General features: G+C 44.1%; 1 protein-coding gene and 1 long non-coding RNA gene across 3 annotated transcripts, besides 1 other annotated feature; one reads left to right on the top strand and one right to left on the bottom strand.

Annotated features, from left to right (window-relative positions):
• Window positions 1-479: 479 nt before the first annotated feature.
• LAMTOR5 (late endosomal/lysosomal adaptor, MAPK and MTOR activator 5) lies at window positions 480-7,151 on the bottom strand. Of its 2 annotated transcripts, none has more exons than NM_006402.3 (4): window positions 6,813-7,151; window positions 5,545-5,606; window positions 3,146-3,263; window positions 480-810 (listed from the first exon to the last, which is right to left on the bottom strand). In NM_006402.3, the coding sequence occupies exons 1-4, from the start codon at window positions 7,091-7,093 to the stop codon at window positions 750-752; spliced, it is 522 nt and encodes a 173-aa protein (NP_006393.2). In that variant the 5' UTR covers window positions 7,094-7,151; the 3' UTR covers window positions 480-749. The 2 variants fall into 2 exon arrangements, with proteins under 2 accessions (NP_006393.2, NP_001369222.1); NM_001382293.1 differs by having other exon boundaries at window positions 6,813-6,921.
• Window positions 6,863-7,092: an enhancer, noted in NCBI's record as "active region_1471". NCBI's record gives its function as "activates an Ori minimal core promoter by ATAC-STARR-seq in GM12878 lymphoblastoid cells {active_cell/tissue: GM12878}" and the evidence as "EXISTENCE:reporter gene assay evidence [ECO:0000049][PMID:35858748]".
• On the top strand, window positions 7,036-15,501 carry LAMTOR5-AS1 (LAMTOR5 and SLC16A4 antisense RNA 1). Its single transcript, NR_102697.1, has 3 exons — window positions 7,036-7,181; window positions 11,400-11,520; window positions 15,236-15,501. It is a non-coding gene; the product is annotated as an LAMTOR5 and SLC16A4 antisense RNA 1 (long non-coding RNA).
• The last annotated feature ends 12,310 nt before the right edge of the window (window positions 15,502-27,811 follow it).

Genomic DNA, 27,811 nt, shown 5'->3' on the forward strand with positions numbered 1-27,811 from the left:
GACGATCCTGGCCAACATGGCGAAACCCCATCTCTACTAAAAATACAAAAATCAGCCAGGTGTGGTGTCGTGCGCCTGTAGTCCCAGCTACTCTGGAGGCTGAGGCAGGAGAATCGCTTGAACCCAGGAGGCGGAGCTTGCAGTGAGCTGAGATCGCACCACTGCACTCCAGCCTGGCGACAGAGCAGGACTCTGTCTACTGAAAAAAACAAAACAAAACAAAACAAAAAACGAAAACGTAAAACATAGAAAACTCGTGTTACTGTTTAAGTCAGTAGGCTACTGAGGGGTCAAAAGTTACATGTAGATTTCTGACTGCACAGGGGTGGGATCCATGGACATACCTGTGAGAATGTAGGTATTTCAGGAAGCTTCTTAAACAAAAGTAATTTAGAACAAAGACCTTTTAAAAAAATTACAGTTTGATAACTGAACAAAAGGAACATTTGGTTAAGTTTAAAGAATCTAGAAAAGATCCATTTTCCTCCAAACAGATTTATTGAATACAGCAAAATTCTATATACAAAGTGACCTGGACCTGCTGCTTCAAAACATGATCCTTTCTTACTAATATCTTGATAGTCGGTCCATAGAGCATTAGAAAGCAATTGACTCTTAAATAAACAGAAAAGTGCCTAATGCACATTAAATGAATGGCCTAACTACTGGAACTTTAGTAGTTCTATAAGGTAATTAACATAGGTAGGATCCAGTTCCTATGACAGGCTGCTGAAGAACAGATATGAGCATCAAGAGGCCATTTTGTGCACTGCCACCGTGATGCCATCGTGTTTCTGGATCATAATGTTCCTGAAATGCAGGAAGAAAATATTCAGTAAAACGTAATCAGTGGGACTTCACTGCAAGATTAAAGATGTTGTTTGCTTTAGGATACAATATTTAAAATAATGTAATTGTTTCTACGTATAAAAGCAATATTTAAACATAACAAAACATTTGGGAAATACATAAACATATAGCATGTGAACACGAAATGAATCCTTAATCCTACTACACACAGACAACCACTGTTAATATTTCCCTGGTTCTTTGTTTCGGTTTTTTAGGCACTGTCTTGCTATGTTGCCCAAGCTGGCCTCAAACTCCTGGGCTCAAGCAATCCTGCTTCAGCCACCTCAGTAGCTGGAACTACAAAAAAAAGGCTTTACTGGTCTTTGTTTTCTTTGCATGTATATGATACAGTCATGTGCTGCATAACAATGCTTCAGTCAACAGTGGACCCTACATATGATGGTGGTCCCGTAAGATTATAATGGAACTGAAAAATTCCTATTGCCTAGTGACCTTTTAACCGTCCCAGCATCACATAGCACAACACACTACTCACATGTTTGTGGTAATGCTGGTGTAAACAAATTGTGCTGCCAGTCATAAAAAGTATAGCACATACAATTATGTACAGTACGTAACGCTTGATAATAATAAATGACTATGCTATGGTTTATGTATTTACTATACTTTTTTTCTTTTTTTTGAGACGGAGTCTTGCTCTGTTGCCCAGGCTGGAGGGCAGTGGCGTGATCTCAGCTCACTGCAACCTCTGCCTCCCGGGTTCAAGCAATTCTCCTGCCTCAGCCTCCTGAGTAGCTAGGATTACAGGTGCCTGCCACCATGCCTAATTTTTGTATTTTTAGTAGAGACAGGGTTTCACCATGTTGGTTAGGCTGTCTCACACTCCTTACCTCAAGTGATCTGCCCGCCTTGGCCTCCCAAAGTGCTGGGATTACAAGTGTGAGCCACCATGCCGGGCCTACTTTTTATCATTATTTTAGAGTATACTACTCCTACTTATTAAGACAAGGTTAACTATAAAACAGCCTCAGACAGGTCCTTTAGGAGGTATTCCAGAAGGTATCATCATTACAGGAGATGACAACTCCATGCATGTTACTGCCCTGGATGACCTTCCAGTGGGAGAAGATGTGGAGATAGAAGCCAGTGATATTGATGATCCTGACCCTGTGCAGGCCTAGGCTAATGTGTGTTTCTTCTTTGCTTTTAACAAAAAAGTCTAAAAAGTAAAAAAGTTTAAAAAAAGAATTTTTGTACAGCTGTACAACTGTTTTAAGTGTTATTATAAAGTCAAAAAGTTTTATTGACTCACTCAGAGCAACTTCCAGTGTTGTAAGCTCCATTATGGTAAGTGCCCTATTCAGATATACCTTTTAAAAAATTTCCCTATACCATACTTTTACTGTATCTTCTCTACGTTTAGATACATAAATACCACTGTTATAACTGCCTACATTATTTAGGCTACAAATCTTTGTAGTCTAAGAGCAATACAGCCTAGGTGTGTAATAGGGTGTACCACCTAGGTTTAAGTACACTCTATGATGTTCATACAACAAAACTGCCTGACACATTTCTCAGAACATATCCCCATTGTTAAGCAATGCATGACTGTATGTTTTTTCTTTTTACAAGGCTGTGATAGTAGCAGTTGTATATATATACTTTTTTTCACATATTATTCTGAGGACCATCACTTGGAATATCTTTAGTAATTTTATTGCTTTAGAAGTAATTTTTGGCTGGGTGCAGTGACTCATTCCTGTAATCCCAGCACTTTGGGAGGCTGAGGCGGGCAAATTACTGGAGCCCAGGAGTTCGAGACCAGCCTGGGAAACATGGTGAAACCTCATCTCTACAAAAAAATACAAAAATTAGCTGGGTGTGGTAGTGTACACCTGTAGTCTCAGCTACAACTCGGGAGGCTGAGTTGGGTGAATCGCTTGAGCCCGGTGGGGTTGAAGTCACAGTGACCCATGATCACACCACTGTACTCCAGCCTGGTGCCAGAGCAACACCCTGCCTCAAAAAGAAAAAAAAAAAAAGTAATTTTTATTCTCTGATTAGTTTTCCTTTGTGCTATTTGTTACTTTCTTTTTGTTGGTAAACTGATAGCTTCTGCCAATTCTTATTCTTCATTTAAATAGCATTGTGGCCTGAGAGCACATTAGCTTTAGGGATCAACTTGTCTGTTCCTGTGATTCAAAAGATTAAGAACTTTTCCCAAAGTAGTCTGAATAAGGAATCACTGATGAACACAGGGCCGGCCCCCGCCAATTTTACCAGGAATTTTTCTGAACAAAAAGGAAAGGATCTGCTGAAATCTACTCACCCATTATCTGATTCTAGACACACCACAGGAATATCAGTGGGGTCAGAGGTTAGCTTAGCTGCTTGCTGGGCTAGAACAGATATCACTCCAGCATGCTCATCTGACAGGGTCCCGCGGCCTGGAAAATAGAGATGATATATGTCACCTGATTGCTCATAGAGTATTTCTGCTAAAATAAGCTAGCTGGCTGTTTTAAAATGTCTACAGAATTGTCTTTTTATTAATGTCTGTATTAGTCTGTATATATTATAGTAACTAAATCTCGGGTACAAAAGTACCTATAAATTCTAGGTACGAAAATTAATTACTAAGTGTACTTTACAATATATTTCTGTATATAAAGGCAACACAAAGTTAACTGTACCTGAAACCAAATCAGGTAATAGACATGCCACTATGGCAGAGCATTTGGATGTACTATTACTATACAAAACATTTTGACCAGATCCGATGCCGACGTTTGAGCCTTGAAGGTTTCTTGAAGGAACTCATTTAGTTTTAGATTTCCATACCTGAATTTCAGTCTTTCCATTAGTAAGCCTAGCAAATGCTTCCAAAAATTTACCCTTTTTCTCCCAAATGACTGATCTGCATGTTAAACATAACTGAGTTACACCGATTACCTCTTTCAGTTACCCTTCCAGCAAAAATTCAGAGCTTTAAACATTCCTGCATTAGGAGCAACAAGTCTTGGGTTTACTAGTTGTCACTAATTAACTGAATGCTTTACTTATTTACCTTTCCAAACTTATTTCCTCATGTGTAATTGCTACCATTTATTAAGTATTATGTCTCAGTTCTATGTAAGCATTTTATACATATTATATAACCTTAAAATATCGTGATTAGGCCGGGTGTAGTGGCTCATTCCTGTAATCCCGCACTTTGGGAGGCGGAGGTGGGTGGATCACCTGAGATAAGGAGTTCGAGACCAGCCTGGCCAACATAGTGAAACCCTGTATCTACTAAAAATACAAAAATTATCTGGGCGTGGTGGCAGGCGCCTGTAATCCCAGCTACTCAGGAGGCTGAGGCAGGAGAATTGCCTGAACCTGGGAAATGGAGGTTGCAGTGAGCCAAGATCGTGCCACTGCACTCTAGCCTGGGCGACAGAGCAAGATTTCGTCTCAAAAAAAAAAAAAAAAAAGTGATTAAGAGGCCTCAGGGCCAGACAAAAATCCTAGCTTAACGACTTACTAGCTGCATGACCTCAGGCAAGTTATTTAACCTCTGTGTCTCAGTTTCTTTTTTTATTTTTTGAGACAGAGTCTCGCTCTTGTCATCCAGGCTGGAGTGCAATGGTGCAATCTCGGCTTACTGCAACCTCTGCCTCCCAGGTTCAAGCGATTCTCCTGCCTCAGCCTCCCGAGTAGCTGGGATTACTAGCACCTGCTACCATGCCTGGCTAATTTTTTTTTGCATTTTTAGTAGAGATGTGGTTTCACCATGTTGGCCAGGCTAGTCTCGAACTCCTGACCTCAGGTGATCCACCCGCCTCCGCCTCCCAAAGTGCTGGGATCACAGGTGTGAGCCACCGCATCCGGCCTCTTTTTTTAAATTTTAAAAACATATATATATGTTTATTGTAAAAATAGAGATGGGGGGTCTCACTGTGTTGCACAGGCTGGTCTTGAACTCCTGGGCTCAAGTGATCTGCCCACCTTGGTCTCCCAAAGTGCTGGGATTACAGGCGTGAGACACTGCACCTGGTCCCTCAATTTCTTTTTCTACCTCACTGGGTTGTTATGAGGAATAAAAGAGTATATGTAAAGCACTTACAATGGTGCTTGGCACATAACAGCTCAATAAATATAATTCTATGATTATTACCATTATCAAATAACAACCCAGTGAAGAAAATGAGGGCCTAAAAGGTAGTTTTTTGGTCCACGTTCACACTACTAACAAATGAAAGAGCAAGGGATTGAGACCAGGTATGTCCAACACTGAAATCCCATTTTACTGCCTATTCACTTCTTGTTTAGTGTAGTTGAGCTTCAAAATTGTACACCACCCACCTTGCCGGGTTGTTGTGAAAATTAAAGATAATGTATTTAGAGCCTAGCAGTCTCAGCATATGGCATACATTCAATAAATGGTTAACAGCTGTTATTATCTGAAGTCCTTTCTAGACTCAATTTAAAATGATTCAAATATTATTTTTAGTAGAGACAACTATTTATTGTTATAGGACTGCAAGGAACATCTTCCTTCATAAATACCAACTGAAAAGTTTCAATTTTCTGATACTGTTATTTGGAGATAATCTCTACTCTCAAACTCAGAAAGACCTGGCAAGGTAACAGGAAATAAAAGCTAGAAAATAATAGCACGCTAGGCTCCAAGTCAACATCAGATGCTATGCAATTCATCAAATAGTTGGTATGAGAGATACTTACAACCCAGATTAAGTCCTTGTGAATCTGTGCACAGGACTCCAACAATGGAGGGATTCTTCATTCTAATTCCAGGAACACAAGAGAGTTGAAGTACATAATGGGAGAAAAAGGATTTAAATAAGTACAAACATACAGGTGTTCTATGTACCAGGCATTAAGTGCTTTAAATCAATATTTCTCAATCTTTTTTCATTGTCACACCCTAAGAAAAAAATTAAGTTCTAGGGCCGGGCGCGGTTGCTCACGCCTGTAATCCCAGCACTTTGGGAGGCCCAGGTGGGCGGATCACCTGAGGTCGGGAGTTCAAGACCAGCCTGACCAACATGGAGAAACCCCGTCTCTACTAAAAATACAAAATTAGCCAGGCGTGGTGGCGCATGACTGTAATCCCAGCTACTCGGGAGGCTGAGGCAAGAGAATCGCTTGAACCTGGGAGGCGGAGGTTGCAGTGAGCCGAGATCACGCCATTGCACTCCAGCCTGGAAGACGAGCGAAATTCCGTCTCAAAAAAAGAACACAAAAAATTTAAGTTCTAGTTAATTAATTGAAATAAACCAGTTTCTCTCTGATGAGAGAAAAAAATGTGCTAAGTACTGCTGAGTTCTGGAGGGCCACAAACACTGCGTGAAAAACATCTAGGATGTTTTCACTCTTGTTAAAAACGCATGTTTTAGTACTAACTCATTTAAAACAACTGTTGAAAAACTCAAGTTACCTCCTGGAGGGTAAGTGGAAGCTGAGGGACATCGGTGGGAGGCAGGTGTCTCTCTGTACCCTTTACACTTTTCCAGTTTTGAATTTTACATAGATACTGCTTGTTCGAAAAATTTAAAGAATGATTTTTATCTACTTAAGCACCAAGTAACTGATAGGTTACACACAGGAGATACGTGTTTGTTTACACTGCAGGGCTCGACACTGCACAACTGGCACAATCTTCCCAAAAGTCAACCCGTTTTCTAAAACTTCCGCAGAACCACCCTGACCGTAAAGACGATTTCAACAACGAGATAGGCAGTTTTGGCCCGTGGCCTGGGCCCGGGAGACTCGCTCAAGAGGGAATGTGCGGTGCCCGGCAGGATTTTAATTCCGGGTCACCCGCCCCGCCCTGCGGCCTTGGGTAGAGTTTAGCCCCCTCATCCCGTGTCCCGGGGGTCGCGCGACGTCCCCGAGACGCCCTGGCCGGTACTCGCAGCTCGCGCCTTTCGTTCCGCTCAAGTTCCTCCGCCGCGACCTCAGGACAGGCCGAAGAGGCGCGCACTACTCACGTGTCTTCCAAGTGCTGCTCCAAGGTCGCCTCCATCCCACCCACCGACCACTCCGGCTCAGAACCCAGCGGCACGGCACGTCCTTCTCCACCACAGGCCTCAGTCACTTGACGCGAGCGGGGCGTGGACCGTAACGGCGCCTCCAAAGGGACAAAATTGATCACGGTGCAACGTCCGCGTTCTTTACTGGAAAACATCACTGCGCTTCCGTCGCACAGAGCCTGACGAAGGCTTGGGCTCCCCGCGCGGTGACCGTCGAGGTGACCTGCACCTGGCTCCATGGCGGAACCGGCCGGCACGGATTATTCCCCTCTCGGGAGAGGTCTGCAGCCGGGCCTCAGTGCTTCAGTTCGTGGCCTGGCATTTTGTGTCAGTGTTTTTTAACCTTTGGACCCTAGTTCAACCGACTCCGAGACCTAGGGGACAGATCTTAAGTTTTACAATAACCCAGGGGTCAGACAGGGTCTGATCTAGCCTGTGGGGCAAGTACGGGGAAGACACGGGACCTCTTGGAGGGGGTCAGTAGGCTTGTAGGGGGAAAGACGCACACAGAGACTAAAGGACGAGATGGAGCAAGGTTCAACCCCCTAGCTGAGTGTTGGCAGTGTCGGGATTTTAACGAAGACATTGGTGCTTATTATGGTGAGGGGACTCAGGACAGTTTAGGGGAAGAGAGTGGCATTTGAGTCCTAACTCGTAAGGAAGACTGGGTAGGACTACTTGAAAATAACTTTTAAAAATTAATTATAAAGCTGGTAAAAATAGGAAAACATCTATGGCCCCACTGTCCAAAGACGACTTTTAACTTCTTGGAGAATATCCTTTCAGATAGTTGTCTTTGTAAATGTATACTTTTAATGTTTTTTCGTTTGCCTTTTTAAAATAAATTTTTTGGGGGACAGGGTCTTGCTCTGTTACCCAGGCTGTAGTGCAGTAGAACGATTATAGCTCATTGCAACCCGGACGTCCTGGGTTCAAGCTATCCTCACCTCTCAGCCTCTCGACTGGCTAGGACCACAGCCTCGAGCCATCATGTCTGGCTAATTTTTACGTTTTTTTGTAGAGATGGGGGTCTCGCTGTGTTGTCCAGGCTGGTCTTAAACTCCTTGCTTCAACAGATCCTCCCACTCCAGCCTCCCAAAATGTGATTACAGGCTGAGTCACCACGCCTAGCATGGTTTTTTTTGTTTTGTTTGTTTTGTAAGCAAAATTGACATACATACTGGAGGTACAATTCTGTAGCTGGCCTTCTTTACAGAGTTTAGAATAAATGTCTTTCCATGTCAAGTTTTCACTTACATCCTTTGTAGTAGTTGCAAAATATTCCATTTTATAGCTGTATCTTAATTGTGGATTAAGGTTGGAGTGCAGTGGCACTATCATGGCTTAGTCCAGCCTCAGCCTTCTAGGTTCAAGCGATCTTCCCACCTCAGCCTCCCAAGAAGCTGGGACTACAGGGACCCGCCACCCCACCTAGCTAATTAAAAAAAAAATTGTAGAGATGGAGTCTCAGTGTGTAGCCCAGTCTCAAGTGACCCTCCCTCGTTGGCTTCCCAAAGCGCTGAGATTGCAGGTGAGCCACTGTACTTGGACTTTTTTTTTTTTTTTTGCTTTTGTTTGTTTTTTGTTTTAGCTATTACAATGCTGGTTGAATATCCTCATAGCTAAATATCTGTGCAGTTTTAAAATTTCCTTATAAGTTACTAGAAATGGAATGACTGGGTTAAAGGACATGATCATTTTTTAAGACTCTTGATACATACTTACAAATTGCCTCCCGAAAAAGTGGTGCTAATTTACTCAAATTGGTAAGCCTCACCCCCTCTGTGGATCATTCCTTGCACTAAGTTTCTTCCAACTCTGTCACCTCCAGCTTTTTACTCACAGCCTACCTTCCAATCTGGGGCCCAGCTCCCAGATCGGAAGATACCAGACTTTGGTATTGAACCAAAGTCCAATACACTGCACTGGCATTCAGAGTCCCTTTTTATTCCGCAGCTGTCATAGTGAAGCTTGCAGCTTCCTTGAAATTCCAGTTTGTTTATTTCTTTATTTTTTTGAGACAGAGTCTTGCTCTATCGCCCAGGCTGGAGTGCAGTGGCGCCGTCTCAGCTCACTGCAACCTCTGCCTCCTGGTTCAAGCGATTCTTCTGCCTCAGCCTCCCGAGTAGCTGGGATTACAGGCATGCACCACCACACGTGGCTAATTTTTGTGCTTTTAGTAGAGATGGGGTTTCACCATGTTGGCCAGGCTGGTCTCAAACTCCTGACCTCAAGCGATCCGCCCACCTCAGCCTCCCAAAGTGCTGGGATTATAGGCATGAGCCATTGCACCCAGCCAAAATTCCAGTTTGAATGTTATAATTCAGGGGTCTTGGACTCCTGCTCTAGAGAAATTATTCATGTTAAGTTAGGGGTAACACAGTACAGGCCATATAAGTTTTAGAAAAAGCAGTTTAAAACTTAGCATTAGAAAACATAAGTACTGCCTGGTGAAATGGCACGTGCCTATAATCCCAGCTACTCAGGAGGCTGAGGCAGGAGGATCCCTTGAGCCCAGGAGTTCAAGTCCAGCCTGGGCAATATAGTCTAGTGGCCACATTAAAAAAAGTAAAACAGCCGGGCGCGGTGGCTCACGCCTGTAATCCCAGCACTTTGGGAGGCCGAGGCGGGTGGATCACGAGGTCAGGAGATTGAGACCATCCTGGCTAACACGGTGAAACCCTGTCTCCACTAAAAATACAAAAAATTCTCCGGGTGTGGTGGTGGGCGCCTGTGGTCCCAGCTACTCAGGAGGCTGAGGCAGGAGAATGGTGTGAGCCTGGGAGGCGGAGCTTGCAGTGAGCCGAGATCGCGCCACTGCACTCCAGCCTGGGCGACAGAGCGAGACTCTGTCTCAAAAAAAAAAAAAAAAAAAAAAAAAAAGTAAAACAGGGCAGGGTGCAGTGGCTCACGCCTGTAATCCTAGCACTTTGGGAGGCCGAGATGGGTGGATCAGTTGAGGTCAGGAGTTTGAGACCAGCCTGGCCAACATGGCGAAACCCCATCTCTACTAAAAATACAAAAATTAGCTGGGTGTGATGGTGCGTGCCTGTAGTCCCAGCTACTCAGGAGGCTGAGGCAGGAGGATCGTTTGAACTCGGGAGCTGGAGGTTGCAGTGAGCCGAGATTGAGCCACAGCACTCCAGGCTGTGCTACAGTGTGAGACTGTCTCAAAAAAAAGTAAAACAGATGAAACTAATTTTAATAACATTTTATTTATTCAAACAATATATTCAAAATATTATTTCAACTTGTGATTGATAAAATACTAATGAGATATTTTATATTTTTTCTCCAGTACTGTCTTCAAAATCCAGGGTATATTTTTCAGTTAGCAGCACATTTCAATTCAGACCAGCCGCATTTCAAGTGCTCAGCAGCCACCTGTGGCTAGTGGCCACAGTATTGGCCAGTGTAGCCCAAGGATATCTCAAATTATCTCAAAGCTAGATCAGTGATTAAAGGATTCTCAGGCCAGGCATGGTAGTTTTCAGGCCTGGTATGGTGGTTTACGCCTGTAATCCCCGCACTTTGGGAGGCCTAGGTGGGCGGATGGCTTGAGCCCAGGAGTTTGAGACCAGCCTAGCCAACGTGGGGAGACCCTGTCTCTACCAAAGCACAAAAATTAGCTGGGCATGGTGATGCGCACCTGTGGTCTCAAGTACTTTGTGTGAGGTGGGAGGATCACTTGAGCCCGGGAGGTTGAGGCTGCAGTGAGCTGAGATTGCACAACTGCACTCCAGCCTGGGTGACAGAATGAGACCCTGTCTCAAAAAAAAAAAAGGATTCTCCGAAAGACTGGCGATTGCTTTTTAAGCTATAAGGAAGGCCTTTGAAGGGAAATCAAGTAGGAAGAGGATGATAGCTGGCTCACATGTCCTTGCCACATGGGAGGTGAGAGAGCAGGCTACTCCTTACCACCCCCGCTTTCTCTGCCCTGCTGCTGTCTTGCCCCTGTGCAAGTAGGCAATGGGAGAGGAATAGTATATATAAATTGGGCAAGTGCTAGGGGCTGGAGTGATGGTTGGGGAAAGTATCTGACCCTTGTTTTCTACTTTCTTTAGCTTGTGGGGTATTTAACAATTCTTTGTTCTTAGTTTTGAGTGCTGGCAACCATTTCTGGGGTGACAGGAAAAGTTCCATGACATCCGTATTAGAGCATTTGTTTCATTATATTGTAATTTTTTATGTTTACTTTTGAAAAAGTTCATTCTTTTCTCTTTTTAATTCTTATTCTTTTTTTTTTCTTTTCTTTTTGAGGCAGGGTTTTACTCTATCACCCAGGCTGGAGTGCAGTGGCACAATCTTGGCTCACTGCAACCTCTGCCTCCTGAGCTCGTGATTCATCCTCCTGAGTAGCTGGGACTACAGGTGTACACTACCATGTGTAGCTAAATTTTTTGTATTTTTTGTAGAGATGGGGTTTTGCCATGTTGCCAGGCTGGTCTCGAACTCCTGCAATTTGCTCTCCTTGGCCTCACGAAATGCTGGGATTACAGGCATAAGCTACAGCACCCAGCCCTTACGTTTACTTTTCATTGACAGGAAGAGTGTCTTCATCTCTGCATCCCTAGTGCAACAGAGCATGACAAAAATTCAACAAATATTTATTGAAGAGTCTTGATGTCTTTTGGGAAAGGAACTCTATGGTTACCTTTACTCTAAGGTAAAGAAATTTAGGTCCTGAACTTTAACCACCTTCTCCTCTTCTTTCTTCCCTCTTTCATAAATGAGCTCTTGGAAAATTAAAATGCCAGGAGGGTCCAGCAGAGAATACCCAAGCCCACATGTCCTGATGGGAAGTGGGGGATAAGTAGAGAGGGAAACACAGACCCTGTAGGCCATCTCACTGCTGCTGGCCCAGGGGACCCTAACTCCTTTTGTTGACTCATCAGAAGTAGAATCCTCCTGAGGGTCTGTTTAAGAAGCACAGCTCTGGTAGAAAGGGTAGCTTTCCTATGGGTACGGAGGGCTCTGCTACCCCAGGGCTATCCACACTGGCCTGTGAATCACTCTCAAATGCTTAGGGTCACGGGCTTTCAGTGGAATGAGCCCTCATGTGCCACCAGGGGGCACCAAGGCCACAGAAAACCCTATTCAGAAGGTTCTGGGGTGAGGGAAAGGAATCCACGGGTTTGTGGAGCTGGCGGAGCATGGGTGAGGACAGCATTATGCTAGGTTGGTGGCCTTGAAGTCAGATGTAAATTGGGATCCTGGCTTGGCCACTGACTATCCATGGGAACTTTGAATCTCAGGGGGCTCATTTGTGATGTGGGGGTACCATTATCTGCCTCATCAGGTTGTGGGGAGGATTATATGAGATACCTTATGTAAGAGGGGCTGGTGCATTGTGGAAGTCAACAAGTAAGTTTTGTTAAATTTGAGTAAGAAGACCTGTTTGTTTCCTCAAGTTGCTTATAATCTAGGTGAGGACACATCTGAGAGAATAACTAATAGTTCAGTGAAGGTAAGAGCCAAATGATTGGCACAGACCTCAAGTGGTCTGGCATTTACGGGAGAGGGGGATTGTGAAACAGGAATTGAAAGAAATTTAAAAATGCATAAGCAAAAACTCAGTTTATGTTTTAAAAAAACCAATTCCCCCTGAGAAAGAGAAAGAGGTGGAGTCCTTTAAAAATTATCTGCTTGTTTTTCTGTCTGTGGCTAGTGAGCCTTATCTCTCCCTTTCCCAGGCATTGTGAAGACCCTGTTTCTCTAGCTGTGCAGCTGCAAGGTCACTAGGCAGATAAACTCAAGCCATAAAACATGTTTTTCCTTGAAAAGTAAGAAATAATGTAATGCATGTGTCAAATGAATAACTATTTCTCGCTTCTGTAATATGCTTCCCTTCGCACAGATCTCCCCCTGCCCCATGAAATGCTTTAAAGGTAACTTAACTCTTTGTTCGGGGCTCAGTCCTTTGGATGTTAATCTGACTGGCTTGGTGCACCTAAATAATAAATAACATATATCCTCCTCAACCCCTCAGTCTCTCTGATTCCTAAATTATCCCGCTGTAATTGCAGGGCTAGATTTGCCGACCTGCTTTATAAAGCTATGTTAAATCAGTATATTTTATTCTTTTTATTAGACTTTTCTATAGCATAAAAATGATAAAATACAGCAAGAAAAAAAGTCACCTGAAACTCTAGTCCTAACCCTAATATGAATGTGAAGGAGCTGGGCTAGAATGGAATAGGGTAGAATTTGCATAAGGTGGAAATGGGGACAGGCCTGTCACAAGGATCACTAGAGTCTTGCTGGCAAAAGCATCTTACTGCATTCATGCTGCAGCACAGGACCCAGATGCAGAACAGGTTGGGGACACAGCCCTGCCTTCTAATAGTGGACACCATCTGAGAGCTGAGCCATAGATTCAAAGCCTAACTCCTAATAGCGATTGGTAGTAATATCATCAGCAGTTCATATACATGGAGTGACAACAGCGTGCCAGGCAATTCAAAGGGTCTCTCGGTCCTCACAGCATTTTTGAAGTAGCTAACATCACTATCCCCCTTTTACAGTTAAAAACAACAACAACAACAACAAAAACACAAAACCCTGAGGCTCAGAAGATAAATATTTGCTGAAGATCACTGTGCTTGTAAGTGGTGGAGCCTGACCATTAACTTCCCCACGACACTGCTTCAATTTCTATCACTTCATCAACCACACAACCCGAGAACTGTGAGGGGATTTAGCAGGCCCAGTCCAGATCTCTTATTGTACAGAGAAGAAATCTGAGGCTCAGAGAGGGGAAGGGACTAATTTGGACCTTTAACTTCGGATTCTTAACTTTCTTTCTGGTGTTCTAACTATACTGTACTACAAGAGGCTGTCTTAGAGCTTTAGTTCAACCAGCTTCAGAGATACTCATTGTTATGGGTTGAATTATGTCTCCCCAAAATTCATATGTCAAAGTTCTAACCCCCAGTACCTCAGAATGTGACCATATTTGGAGATAGGACCTTTACAGAGGTAATCAGGTGAAAATGAGGTTGTTAGGGTGGGCCTTAGTCCAGTATGGCTGGTGTCCTCATAAAAAGGGGAAATTTGGACACAGATGTACATAGAGGGAAGATGGTGTGAAGAGACATAAAGAACAGATAGTCATCTATAGCCAAGGCCTGGAACAGATCCTTCCCTAACAGCCCTCAGAAGGAAGCAACCTCACTGACACCTTGATTTTGGACTGCTACCCTCTGGCACTGTGAGACAATAAATTCATGTTGGTTAGGCCACCCAGTTTGTTATGGCAGCCCTAGGAAACCTTTGTGGATATATCTGTTCGTATACCCATAAAGTCTGCAAGTCAAAAATATCACAGACTTTTGGCAGCCCTTCATTCAAGCACTGGCTGGGAGGGTCACCCTCCCCGAGGCAAAAGGATAGAGCAAATGATCTTTCCAGCTTGCTCCCAACCTTGATCTTTGGCCAAGATATTTTTCTTTCACTGGACATTGGCCAACATTGGTGTCATAACTTAATTTGACTGTGACCTTCTTGAGTCTTTTATGTCTCTGAGCTTGACCTGTAGAAGAAGCTCAATAAATGTGGGTAGAGGGGATGAGTGGGAAAATCAGCTCCCAGCCATTCCAGTTCAAGCCTCTTCAAGCAGAAGAGTCCCACCTGAAAGACCTCATTTTCACTTGATTACTCGATCTCCAAGCAATAGGTGGGGCAGGAAGCAGGGTATGTAAGGCCTGTCAGTGGATGGAAGTTGAAGTTGGACACCATCTCCTAAAGTTTAGAGCTGAGCCCAAATTCTGGAAAACACAAGCAAAATACATTTTATATGACTCAGGATGGGCTAAAGAAGTTCCAGTACAGGAAACTGTTTTCCTGCTGCTTTATTAATTTTGCTACAGAGGATAAATGAGATGCAGACTTTCATATCCAAGTCTTCATTAGATGCCCAGTTAATGCAGCCATGACAAATGGGAATGAAGCCCTTATGAATAAAAAAAAGATCAACCCAGTATAAAAAAATCATAGACCAGAGAAATGAAAATTTAGAGGAGCTGATAAAATACCCTATCCTTAATTAGACTGTCAGCATACACATCAAATCAGCCTTAATGCCAAGATTTATTGGCCTTGGAATTGGGTAAATGAAATAAGTGCTTACAAATGAATGGAAAAGAAATTACCTGTATTAAAACGTATTTGTGATGCAGGCCTGTGCACTGAGGGTTTTAGTCAAACTCAGGCTTGCAGCTTCTTTTGCTCTGCATCCATTTCCACCCCATGTTCCCCAGTGGGTTTCAGAGACCCTCTTTGTGGGGTAACAATATGTACCATTGTCAACTACCTCTGCTGTTGTCCTGGAAAAATCCTTCTTGGACAGTAAAATATTTTTGTCTTTATTTCACCATCTCCAGATTAGATGGGTGTTACTGATTCTTACCTCAGAGAAGAGAATGTCATGGAGACAAAATGACCTGCTTAGAGTTCTGCACCCCCCAGCATGGAGAGCAGAGCGCAAAGATTTCTTCCGGACTCCCACATTCCCCTTGGAATCCAAGAACTGGTCTACTGTCACAACACTTTAGTACCCTCTTGTAAGCCTGTGGACAAATCCTCTGATGCCTTGATACCTCGGTTTTCCCCCACTATAAATGGGAAGATAAATTCACTAGAAACAGTACTTACCTTGCAGTGTCATTATGAGAATTTCATGAGACAATGCAATATAAAGCTCCTAGCACAGTTCCAGGCACCATTGTAAGCACTGAACAAATGAAAGCTGTTGTCATTAGGATCTCAAGAAATGACAGCTGAGGCAAATGTGGATTAGACTGCATTCAGCATTCTTAGCTGCAAGCAACAGAAGCTGACGCTGGTTTAAAGAATAGGAAAGGAAGTTAATTAAAATGACATTGGGTAGCTTGTGGAACTGGGAGGACTAGAGAGCTCAGTCTAAGTTCTAGTGACAAAGCTTCAAATCATACATGAGGAAAATGCCCCTCTGCAGGAGGAACGTAATCCTGCAATCACTGCTTCCCCTGAAGCCAGATGCCTCTACTGCTGCCCTTCCCAGCAGTGATGGAGCCTGGATCACATACCTGGCTTTAGTTGTAAAGGAGGCTGGAGAGAAAATGCTCTGCTCTATGTAACTGTCTTGAAAGTGGCCCACACATAGCAAAGCCATTCAAAAGCGGGTGAGCAGCATGAAAGCATCCAGAAGGATTCTTGCTTTGCATGAGGGAGAACTCTTGCTCCCAGAGTGTGAGACCAGCAGGGGCATTTTCCTCATGTGTGATTAGAAGCTTTGTCACTAGAAGCTTAGACTGAGTAGGACACCTCTGAGTGTGAATGTCCTACCTGAGTTCTGCCTCATGCAAAGCAAGAATCCCTCTGGAGGGATTGACACCACAGCCTCTTCCACAATGTCTCCAAACAACTTTACTGGGCAGCATTCCACTCCTTGACAAACGGGAGAGGTGCATTCTACCTTCTCTCCTGCATGAGCCTAGACTAATATGGAATTTGGGAGTGTTGATCATTGTACTTTGTGCTCCTAGAGATAAGGGTCATCATAAAGCATCTCAGAGTCTCACTGTAGATCCACAGTTCCATTTCTTTATGGATCCCTTACCCCTACTTTGCCAAATTCTATGCAGATAGCAATAATAATTCAGACAGGGCTTCCTCACTGAAGGAGTTTGTGCTCTATATAGTTAATAAGCTAGAGATAATGAAAAAAAAAAAAACTCAACTTGAACTTTGGGTAAGAGAAACTTTTCAGACCAACGATCATTACCAATAACAGCTTCCACGCATGACCCTGCCCGGAGATTGGGGCCTGCACTACTGTTTCCAGGAAACACATTCTTTTGAATTTTTTTATTTTCTTTGTAGAGATGGGGATCTCACTCTGTTGCCCAGGCTGGTCTCAAACTCCTGGCTTCAAGCAATCCTCCTGCTTCGGCCTCCCAAACTTCTGGGATTACAGATATGAGCCACCACGGCTGGCTGACAGGCACCAAATTCTAGGAGAGGACTTGAATAGAGTAGGCATCTGTCTCTCCCCATTCCTTTCAGGGACAGAGCTCTCCTGGTTGGGAGAAAGGGAGAGGGAGAGGGAGGAGGATGAATAGTGAAGCACCAAACCTCAGAATTAAGGCCTTTTTCTTTTCTTTCTTTCTTTCTTTTTTTTTTTTGAGATGGAGTTTCGCTCTTGTTGCCCAGGCTGGAGTGCAATGGCACAATCTCGGCTCACCGCAACCTCTGCCTCCCAGGTTCAAGCGATTCTCCTGCCTCAGCCTCCCGAGTAGCTGGGATTACAGGCATGCGCCACCACACCCAGTTAACTTTTTTGTATTTTTAGAGACGGGGTTTCTCCATGTTGGTCAAGCTGGTCTCGAACTCCCGACCTCAGGTGCTCTGCCCGACTTAGCCTCCCAAAGTGCTAGGATTACAGGCGTGAGCCACCATGCCCAGCCAGAATCAGGGCCTTTTTAAAACTTCAGTGTCTTGTCTTTACCCTTCATGGTGCCTAGAAAAGCATCTGGCTCATAGGTGTTCAGTGAATGATTGTTTCATTAGTGAAGAAATTCCCTTTGGAAATCTCATAGGAAACTTACCCTCTCCAACCCTTCACCTGTGCATTATTCCAGCTCCCAAGGAGGCAGCAGAAACTGGGGTAATCACAACGGTCAACAGCAGCAAAGGCAGCACTTTCTGATTTACTTGACTGCTATGGATGCCACCTCTCTCCACGCCTCAGTTTAATATCTGTAAGTTTGGTCAGTATCTCATTCAAGAACATTGCATTTACTCTGGTACTTAAAGATGAAAAATCAACATTTACAAAGCAGATCCATTGTCAACCTAAATAACAAACAAAGAGAGTCTCTATAAAAGAAAAGAATATTTATTTGGGAATAGAGCATTGCATAGGAATATGCCTGCCTTAGTAATGCATGTATTCAGGGAGGTAGAGGAAGACAAAGGTTTTTAACAGAAAAAATGTGGAGAATTACATAATTGTTTTGAAATAATTATCCTTGGCTATAAAGATCAATAACAAGGGTGATGCGAGTCCAAGGTTGGACAGGCAGTTGCTGGGCAGATGTCTTTGCAGAAGTCTTTTTTGTGTAAGGTTGTAATGGCTTTTGTAGGAGGTTGTGGCTTTTGCAATCTTTTGTGATAGCTTTTGTTACCAGGCATACAAGCATGAGAATGCTCTCTTCAGGGCCTTCCCTAGCTCTATTTATCAGGGGTTTCTTGTTAGTGATTCCATTTTGATTCTGACAACTTTCATGGACATTATCTCATTTAATCTCACAGTCATTCCATGACTCTATCCCCATTTTGTGAATGAAGTAACTGAGGTCTGGAGAGGTCAACTAACTGGTCAAGGTCATAGAACTTGAAAATTTTCATTGTCTTGGGTCTCTAATACTGGGGCTGACCATTCTCCCAGGCAATGTTGAGTGAGTTGGCCCAGGTGAGTCGGCTCCTCTGCAATTGTGTCTCCTCAACTAGTTTGAACAACACAGGCCTGTGAGCCAGTCCCATAAAGTGGCTAGGGGTTCCCTTCTCCCCATTTCCCCTCATCAACAGGAGGACTTGTCTGTGTGCCTTCAGACACCACACAGTAAATCAACTGCCACATTCATTCTGGACCATCAGTATTTTGCCCCAGGAGAAAGTCAGAGGCAAGCACACTAATATCTCATTGATATTTTCAATTGCCAAAGGGGAAGTGAGATGAATCTAATCCCATCTGTCAAGGTGGAGAAGAGCTGATTCGAAAGCAGCATAGATTACTTTAAGGAGATGACAGTTTATCACTCTCTGGACAAGGGAATATGAAATGAGGACTAACCTCCTTTATGAGTTGGTAAAAACATTGATCAGCAAAGACAATGTCTGGGGAAATGAACAGCAAGTTCTCTGGCCCTTTTTCCACTTTTCCTTTCCCCGAGACTTTATGTTATATATACACACTCACACAAACAGGACAGAATCCACCTCCTGCCCCTCAAGAAATAGTTAACATTTGTTGAGGATTAATTATTGCCAGGCTCTGTACTCCATGTTTTATATTTACTATCCAGAAGCCTTAATTGTTAAATGAGGTAAGTGTTATTATTAGAACCTTTGTACAGATGTGGAAACTGAGGTGTATAGAGGTTGACTTGCCCAAGGTTACCCAGCTAGTGAAGAATGAAATCAGATGCAGTCCAGCCAACGCTTGGCCTGCCGTCAGTCACACGCAGTACACGTAGATCAGTCAGCCTGGAAAGCCACCTAGACAGCCCTGCTTCACTCCATCCTTGGTCAGCACCTTAGAGAGCCCTGCTGACCCCAAGAGGATGTGCCTTTTACGGGTTGTAGAGGCTGAACCACAGCTGAGGGGCTGGAATGAGTGGGGGCCTCAGACAGGGTGTCTGGAGAGCTGAGGCTCAAGGAAGGGTGGAGGGGGTGCTGAAGCTGAAGGCCGTGGGTCTTGCCAGCAAGTGGGGCTCAGTGAGCCGAGGTGCCTCTCAGTTACTTCCATGTGTGAATTTCCGGTGGAGGACAGTGATGGGCTCTGGGCCCTTGGAAACCGGGACATCCAGCGTGTCCAGCCACAGTGCAGGCTGCCCTGGCTGCTGAGAGTCTCAGAAAATGCCACTGTCATGGGTTAGGAAGGCCTGGGGACCACAACAATGTGACTTCAAAAAACCCAAGAAGGAATGTGCACACCTGAGATGCTCAGAATGCATGTGTCAGTGTTCAGTTCTGACTCCTTGCTTCAGCCAGGGACAGAAGAACCTTCTACAGTAAAGAACCACAAGAGAGGGCTTTGCTGCCAGCCTCAGCCAGGGACACTTGGCGGCCAAAGCAAAGGTCACTCCAGGGCTGCAGATTTCAGCCTCTGCGGCCAGAAACAAGCTTCCCAATTAATAATACTCTGGATCGGACAGAGATGGCTGCTCTGTCTCAGGCGTGTTTGCCGTTGATCCCTGTGATTGATGCTGATAACATTAAGAGTCTGTCAGGGTGATATTTCATGAATGTCTCATGTGATGGGATGATACAGTCGGGAAATGCAATTCCCTAGCTCAGGCAGAATCAGAGATGACCCAAAGTGCTGATGGAAAGGCTGAGGCCCTTTCCAGCCTCTGGCAGGGTAGGGAAAGCGGGTGAGGTGGGGGCTTGGGAGGGGCTGGGCTGACCTAGAGCTGTAACAGGGGTCTCTCATGAAGGGCTGTGAAGAGAAACAGTATGTGAGAGAGGCAAGAAACTTTTCTCTGGGTTTCCTCATGTAGAATGATTCCATCTGTGTAGGCCATGAAGGAGTCCAGGGAAGTTCACCCCAAAATGTTGAAACCACCTTTGCAAAGATTATGACAGTGAGAGAAGCCTGGCATGGCTGACTCTATCTTGCTTCTAGCCTCACAGGCTGGCTGTTCTGTCTCATTCCTGGGCATAGGCCAAGCTAATCTTGGGAGGGATTTATGGTTTAACTTTGAAGCCAGGATCATAATTGTCCCTCCCTAAAACTGACCCCTTTCTTGTTCAGGGACTGAAACTGCCTTTGTAAGACTAATGAAAGGCCACAAAATTAGGATTATGGAAGGGGCCTGAATTCTGATAAGATGTAGGCATAGCTTGCCTTTCTGTCATCGTTTATTGCACTGGCACTCACAAGATTTGTAACTTCCCCAATTGGTCCCATAGATAACATCACTATTGTAGAACCTCAGATTGGTCTTTTGAGATCTTTTTCAGACTTTGGTATTCTGGTGACTGACTCCACCCAGATCCCATGACTCATGACTCAGCTGGTCCTGTGGTTCTTACCCAGTCTGACACAGCACCAGAGGACCGTTTTCCACACTTCTATCTATGATTTCATCCCCAACCAATCAGCACCACCCATTCCCTAGCCCCCTGCCCACCAAATTGATATCCATAAAAACCCTAACCTCTGAGTTCTCAGAGAAACTGATTGGAGTAATAAACTCCTGTCTTCTGTGTGGCTAGCCTTATGTTAATTAAACTCTTTCTTAGGGCAGTACTGCTGTCAGTGAATCAGCTTTATCTGTGCAGTGGGCAAGAAGGACCCACTGGGTGACTACAATATGGCACTTTGGTATGTTGGTTATTTTAAGTTAGAGGCCTTTGATGCTGGAAGAAGCTTTACTCTGATATCTCCTTATCTACCACAAGACTGGATCTGCCAAAGAGAACACAATTGCGTTCCATTCCCTTCCTGAAATCTCATTATCTATGGCAGAAAAGAAGACTGGGGAATGTAATACACAGTATTACACAGTAATGTAACATACTACACAGTATTTACACAAAACATGTAACACAGAATGTACTACACAGTATTTTCACAAAACAATATCTGTCTCTCCAACTCATTCAAATTCTAAAGAGTCATTTACACGTCAATTTGTGTCTTCTACGCCCATTCATTCTCCCTAAGAATCATTTACTACTCCTCAAAAGAATTACCAACATTCTCCATCTCCCACTCCCCTATGAGGAAGGGTATATAAGTTTCTGTCTGGATCTCATTAGATGACTGTGTGATCGTGCTTCTATGATCCCTACCCCACATGTTAAATGAATTTTGTATGCCTTTTTCTTTTATCAATCTGCCTTTTGTTAGGGTATTTTCAGTGGACCTTCAGAAGGCAAAGGGGGAGCTTTCCTTCTTTGACCCTACAGCTATTAGACTTGATTGAGTAAGACACACAATAATGAAAGTAAATAAGAAGAAAAACATTCATCCTGCTGTCTCCAGAGTTTGAAATGTCTGCCTCAAACTTCGATTTCTATCTACCAAAAATTCATGCATTAATCATAAGGCCGATCTCAAAAGTGAATTTTTTTTTTTTTTTGAGAAGGAGTCTCACTCTGTTGCCTAGGCTGGAGTGCAGTGGCACAATCTCAGCTCACTGCAACCTCTGCCTCCTGGGTTCAAGCGATTCTCCTGCCTCAGCCTCCCAAGTAGCTGGGACTACAGGCACGTGCCGCCAAGCCTGGCTAATTTTTATATTTTTAGTACAGACGGGGTTTCACCATATTGGCCAGGCTGGTCTCAAACTCCTGACCTCAAGTGATCCACCCACCTCTGCCTCCCAAAGTGCTGGGATTACAGGCGTGAGCCACCGCGCCTGGACGTGAAAAGTTTTTTGAATTCCCCCATTAGAAATGATCTTCACCCTGACTCCCATAACACTTTGTACATTACTGTAAAAGCATAATATTCAAATATTTACAATATACCTCCTTCAAATATAAAATGGACACATGCCGAAGACTTAGCAACTCATGAAGGAGGGAACCAATAATGTAGTTAAGCTAATTCAAAGAGCATTTTGAGGAAATGAATACTTATGGTCATTTAAAAGGAAATGTTAAAATTTCTAGGTTAAAAATAAAACTTGCCATTGCATATATGGTCAAATGATTTTTGACAAGGGTGCCAAGACCATTCCATGGGGAAAACACAGTCTTTTCAACAAATCGTGTTGGGAAAACTAGATATCCATGTTCAAAAGAATGAACCCTTACCTTACCTTCCACCATATACAAAAATTAACTCAAAATGGATCAAAGACTTAAGCATAAGAGCTAAAATTATAAAATTCTTAGAAGAAAACATAGGGAAAAAGGTCCATGGTATTATATTTGACAATGACTTTTTTTTTTTTTTTTGAGGCAAGATTTCACTCTGTCACCCTGGCTGGAGTTCAATGCAGTGGCACAATCTCAGCTCACTGCAACCTCCACCTTTCAGGCTCAAGCAATCCCCCTACCTCAGCCCCTAAGTAGCTGAGACTACAGGCATGCACCACCAAGCACAGCTAATTTTTGTATTTTTGTACAGAGTTTCGCCATGTTGCCCAGGCTGGTCTCGAACTCCTGAGCTCAAGCTATTCACCTGCCTCAGCCTCCCAAAGTGTTGGGATTACAGGTGTGAGCCACTGTGCCCAGCCCTGACCCCCACATTTTTAAACAAAGCTTCTCTTCCATAATCAATTGCAAATCAGAAGATCTTTGAATCTATCTGCAGCCTGCAAGCCCCCTATTCAAGACATCCCACCCTTTTAAACTTAAGCCAATGTGTAACCTCCTGGCAATCAATTTTGCAATTTATGATTTTGCCTGTAGCTTCTGCTGTTCTGAAATTTATTCCTGCCTCTAAAAATCCTTGCCGGCAAGCCACTGGGGAGGCTAGGTTTTGAGCACTTAGCTGTCTGGTCTTCCTTACTTAGTGCTCTGCAATAAACACCTTCCTTTCTATCACCACAAAATCCTGGGTGTGGGTATCTGGTTTTACTGTGTTGGGTGAGCAGACCTCAGTTTGGTTCTGTTACAAGTCCCTGCTCCATCTCACTTGCTACAACATGAATGAAACTTGAGGACATTATGCAAAATGAAATAAGCCAGTCACAAAAAGACAAATACTGTATTATTCCACTTATATGAGGTACTTATGATAGACAAAATCATCAAGACAGAAGGTATGATGGTTGCCAGGGGTTGAGGGAAGACAAAATAGGGAGTTATTGTTTAATGGTTGAGAAGTTTCAGTTTTGCAAGATGAAAAGTGTTCTGGAGATGGATGGTGGTGATGGTTGCATGACATAAATGTGCTTAATACCACTGAACTGTTCTTAACTCCGCTGAAATATGGTTAAGATGGCCCGGGTGCAGTGGCTCATGCCTGTAATCCTAACACTTTGGAACGCCGAGGCGGGCAGATCACCTGAGATCAGGAGTTCGAGACCAGCCTGACCAATATGGCGAAACCCAGTCTCCACTAAAAATACAAAAATTAGCGAGGTGTGGTGGTGCGCACCTGTAATTCAAGCCACTTGGGAGGCTGAGGCAGGAGAATTTTCTGAATCCAGGATGCAGAGGTTGCAGTGTACTGAGATCGCACCACTGCACTCCAGCCTGAGCAACAGAGCAAGACTCCATCTCAAAAAAAAAAAAAAGGTTAAGATGGTAAACTTTGTACCAATTAAAAAACAAAGCTGGCTAACACCCTACAGGGCAATTAAAACATCATAATCTTTGGTGTTATCTTTTTTATTAGATAGAAATTATTTATACTTACTGGATAAGATCTGTAAGTTAACACATAACTTCACAGAGTCTGAGCCCTTAATGAATAATAAATAGCCAAGTCACAGGGAGATACTTTCCCTGAGGTAATTAAGCAATCCTTGGGTAGGCTTGTGAAGAAATGCCCAGAATGACGTTGGAAGGACATGCTGTTCTCTCTTGGCCTTATTTCCAAGGTTTGGACTCAAAGTATTATTTTTTAACATCACAGAAATTTTTTATGCCCTGGTCTCTTGAGGGTAGGGACTGTGTCTTTTTCATCTTTGCCCCTTTCCACATGCTCTGGTTTGTAGAACAGAATTGAAGAAGGAGCCATGTGCTAGATAGAGCGGGTTGGGAGCAGCAGACCTGCCTGCTCATTGTTTCTGTGACCTTGACCCATCCTGTAGTCTCCCCACGCCTTGCTATTCTCATCCATCAACGATGAGATTGCACCTAAATCCTGGGTGCTGTGCTGGGCCTGGGGATGCTGTCTAATCCCTGGGTTTCCTTCTAGTTTGCTCTAATCACCCATATGAAAAAGAAGCTACTCAAGGCAAACATATAAATGAAACGGATAATGAATGAATAGTATTTTTTCTTGCTTTCTTTGGAAGAGGCATCCTGGATTCTACTTGAAGCCTGCAGCCCTGACTCCTGGGCTGGGAGGTGGGCGAGGACTTGTATTTTGTAGCTCTGCTAGAGAGGGAACAGCTGTCCACTGGTGGCAGGACTGACGCCTCCCAGAATACAGGGGCTTTGGATCAGCAGGCGTCAGAGGGAAAGGAAACTGGCATCCGAGTCTGCCTTTGAGAAAGGAGTAAATTACTATCTTATTATAAATTCATGATCCACTCATTGCTGTTTTCAATTAATTTCTTGACAAATCTGGCTGTTCCTTTTCTTATTTTCCTTAGGACAGGAGGTGTCCTGGTGATCAGCTGGAGCTCGGGGGAGCTGTTGCTGAAATTAACTTGAGTGCTTTGGAGAGAGATTTACATGGCAGAGTGGAGCCAGGGCTGCTCCTTTGGCAGGCACTGCTGTGCCACTGTGGAGGCGCCCCTGCTTTTCCCATGCTTTGCAGTGTCTTTAAAGGCCTTTGGAGCCATGCCCAGGCTCAGCCCCATCCTGGTGTCCCCCTGTGTCCGTTTTGCCACTGCCCGGCTACTTCACTTGGCCATGGGCCTTACCAGCTTGCAGACAAACCCGTCCATCTACGCCTCCCAGCGCAGCTTGGCCCACTTGCAAGCACTTACAGAGGGTTTCAGAAGGAACATGTCTGCCATCTGTGTTTGGAGACTGTGTCCCAGACTTTTGAGCTCACATTAGTCATGGCCACAGACGGGACTGGAGTCCTGCCCACTGGAGTCCCAAAGGTCTCTGGTGTTTGTTTTCCACTCTGCATGCCTGGGTTGGGGGATGGCAGGGGGATACAGGTTGTTGGAGTACCTCCCAGCCGGGCCGTTTCCTTGGTTCCCTGGGGCTGCCTTGCTTCCTCTCTAGATCATCAGTCTCAGCAGAGGAAACCAAAAATCTCCTCCTCGCCCCGCAACCACCTTTTGCTGACTGCTAAGCATCCCTGCTCTGAAACCATAACCACCATAAAAGCAATAGGCTTGTCTTCTCTGTTCTAAGCATGTACTATTCAGGTGATTTAGGGGGAGTAAACAGGCCCAGAGAAATTAAATAATTTGTCTAAGGGTACCGGCTAATGAGGATCTGAGCTCAGTTGTAAATGACTCCATCACCCATGCTCTTTTTTAGTCCCCTTTATAATTATTTTAAAATAACATTTAATTAATTTTCTGTTATAAAAGGAACACATGCTCAAACAAAAAACTTAGAAAATATAAAAATGTATGAAGACAAAACAAAATAACCCCCAGTATTAGCAATGCCAACTTGCCAAGACAAAAATGTTAACATTTTTATTTCTTTTTCTTTTCAGTCTTTACTCTCTGTGTGCACACACACACACAGGCAAAGTGAAATCACATTGTATATTCTTTTTTGCTTCTAGCATTTTCCACTTAGCTATCTAATATTACTATTTCCTGATATCAATAAATGATCTTCAATCCCATGCTTAACTCTTCTGTCCAAGGCATGTTCTGCCCAATTTTGTTTTCTCCTGTGTCTGTTTGAATGCCTCCTTTCTGGCCTGCATCTTAGGGGGACACTGAAGTCTCCTTTCCAACAGAAGTTCTATTCAGGGGGAATCTGTTATCTTGTTTAAAGCCCATCCTGGGCTGGGGAGCAAGCAGGAGAGAGAGAGAGAGACACCACCCATACGTGACTAGAGTGCCATTTGTAGCAGGATGCCCCAGAGGCAGCGTGGCCCTTCACCACCACAGTTATCTGGAACGAGCAGGAACTGTGTAGAGGAAGAGGCACATCCCCTTTTGAATGGCTGTGCCCTTGCAGCCACCTCAGTCCCTGCTTCCTGAAGGGAATCAGTTACTGGGCTCTGGGAGACAATTTTCAAAGTGAACTTCCACGGATGTGAAGGGAACCATGACCTAGAAATCTGAAGGTGCTAGGTCTTATTTTGCTCAGAGCTGAAAAGAGCCACTTTAAGAGGGCAAACATTGAGGAAAAAATGAAGAATATTTCATTTTTTAGGGAAATCCTACGAGCCTATAGGAGTCATCTTAGCCCATGTGCATGGTCACATGGCCTCTGTCCAGGATGGCCAGGACGGGGTGACTTCCTTAGAAGGGACTGGCATCTTGGGAGGCAGGCCTTTTCAGGGCTCAGCCCCAGGACTCCTTATCAAAATGTTGAAAAAAAAAGTTTATTCCATGGACTTCTAGAAATGGGGAAAGCATTGATGGGTTATAACTCAATTCTCAACACCAACAATCCATAACTCTCAAAGAAGATCTATGACTCCAAAAGGGTGACCTGAATCAGGAGGCTTATAATTGCATTGCCAAAGTGCAATGTGATCAGAGGCAGAAACATAACTAGGACCTCCCACAAGGAGTTGAAACTCCCTTTATCCTGGGCCTGTGGTTATCTCATTGATATTTTCCACTGTAGGTGAATTATTTCATTGTAGAGTCCCCTATTTAGAAAATACATGGCATGTGTGCCAGCATTTTCCTATCCTGCACCCATGGCAGGCATCACCAATCAACATTGGCACCCTCCCCACTGAGCCTAGAAGCAGCTTCAGACTCAGTCTCAACATACTTCTCCAGGCAGCCATTACGAATCAGTCAGCACTGACCTGGAATGAAATCCTTTGACATTCCTGAATTAGTTTATAATCACAAGCAGGAATTGTATATCAAGTTCTTATTAGATAGAATACTTAGAAGGCCCTTAGGTTGGTTCATTTGCCTGTTTCCTCATAAGAATGAGGGCAGAGCTGGGCATGGTGGCTCATGCCTATAATCCCAGCACTTTGGGAGGCTGAGATGGGAGGATTGCTTGAGGCCAGGAGTTTGAGACCAGCCTGGGCAACATGGCAAGATCCCATCTCTACAAAATATATATTAAAAAAATAAAATGAAGAATGAGGGCAGGAGGTGGCGGGAGAAGTGGAAGCAGATGGAGGAAGTTAGGTTGAAGAGAGCCAAGGATTCTTATTCTGATCCTATGATTTTCTTTCTTTCTTCACTCTGTCACCCAGGCTGGAGTGCAGTGACACTATCCCAGCTCACTGCAATCTCTGCCTCCCGGGCTCAAGTGATTCTCGTGCCTCAGCCTCCCACGTAGCTGGGATTACAGGTGTGTGCCACCATGCCTGCTAAATTTTGTATTTTTAGTAGAGAAAGAGTTGCGCCATGTTAGCCAGGCTGGTTTCAAACTCCTGGCCTCAAGCATTCCATCCACCTTAGCCTCCCAAAGTGCTGGGTTTACAGGCATGAGCTACCATATCCAGCCCC

Source organism: Homo sapiens, chromosome 1 (genome assembly GCF_000001405.40).
Source record: "Homo sapiens chromosome 1, GRCh38.p14 Primary Assembly".
NCBI classification, from domain to species: Eukaryota; Metazoa; Chordata; class Mammalia; order Primates; family Hominidae; genus Homo; species Homo sapiens.

Bases quoted from the DNA above. Each gene is read 5' to 3' on its own strand.
- LAMTOR5 (NM_006402.3), bottom strand. From the start codon at position 7,093: ATGGAGCCAGGTGCAGGTCACCTCGACGGTCACCGCGCGGGGAGCCCA. The intron at 3,264-5,544 runs GTAAGTATCTCT...TCTATTTTCCAG, and splicing joins ACAAGGACTTAATCTGGGTT to GCCGCGGGACCCTGTCAGAT. The intron at 811-3,145 runs GTGAGTAGATTT...CCTGCATTTCAG, and splicing joins TGTCTAGAATCAGATAATGG to GAACATTATGATCCAGAAAC.